Genomic DNA, 726 nt, shown 5'->3' with positions numbered 1-726 from the left:
TCCGGTGTGAACTGAGAGGTGTGCAATTCTGCCTGAAAAAAGCCCCCTGCCCCAGTGTTGGGGACAGCCATTACTCTCCACAGTGAACAGAAAGACAAACGCCCCGAACAAGACAGAAACATTAGGTAAGGCGCCATGGCTCATGCCTGTAATCCCACACTTTGCGAGGCCAAGGTGGGCAGGTCGCTTGAGCCACAGTTTGAGATCAGCTTGGGCAACATAGTGAGACGCTGTCTCTACAAAAGAAATAGAAAAATTAGCCAGGTGTGGTGGTGCATGCCTGTAGCCTCAACTACTTGGGAGGCTGGGGTGGGAGGATCATCTGAGCCTGGAAGGCGGAGGCTGCAATGAGCCATTATTGCACCACTGCATTCCAGCCTGGGCGACAGAGTGAGACATTGTCTCAAATCAAAAAAAAAAAAAAAAAAAAAAAAAGAAAAAGGAAAAAGACAGAAATATCAGGCTTCAATTGACATAGGACTGCACCTTCTTAAACTAGACATTAGGCCAAATCATTCTGTTATGACATACCATAAACATTTACGTTTTTCTTCCTAGAAAAACTGATTTTCCTCAATGAAGAACGTTTTTATCAATGGTTTCAATTCATTATTCCTTGTAAGTTACTGATAATTTTCATTTTAGAATTTAGTAGCTTGCTTTTTAAAAAAATATACTTGTATTTAGATACAGCAAATGATTCTGGTTACACTAAGAACATAAAGC

At 41.5% G+C, this 726-nt stretch overlaps 1 annotated feature.

Moving 5' to 3' along the window:
- Positions 217-404: a silencer, noted in NCBI's record as "fragment chr5:2663143-2663330 (GRCh37/hg19 assembly coordinates)". NCBI's record gives its function as "represses an EF-1alpha promoter that drives an FKBP-Casp9 reporter gene in an ReSE screen in HepG2 liver carcinoma cells {active_cell/tissue: HepG2}" and the evidence as "EXISTENCE:reporter gene assay evidence [ECO:0000049][PMID:32094911]".

The sequence above is a fragment of the Homo sapiens genome, chromosome 5, assembly GCF_000001405.40.
Source record: "Homo sapiens chromosome 5, GRCh38.p14 Primary Assembly".
Lineage (NCBI taxonomy): Eukaryota > Metazoa > Chordata > Mammalia > Primates > Hominidae > Homo > Homo sapiens.
This window is presented reverse-complemented; position numbering and strand designations above follow the sequence as displayed.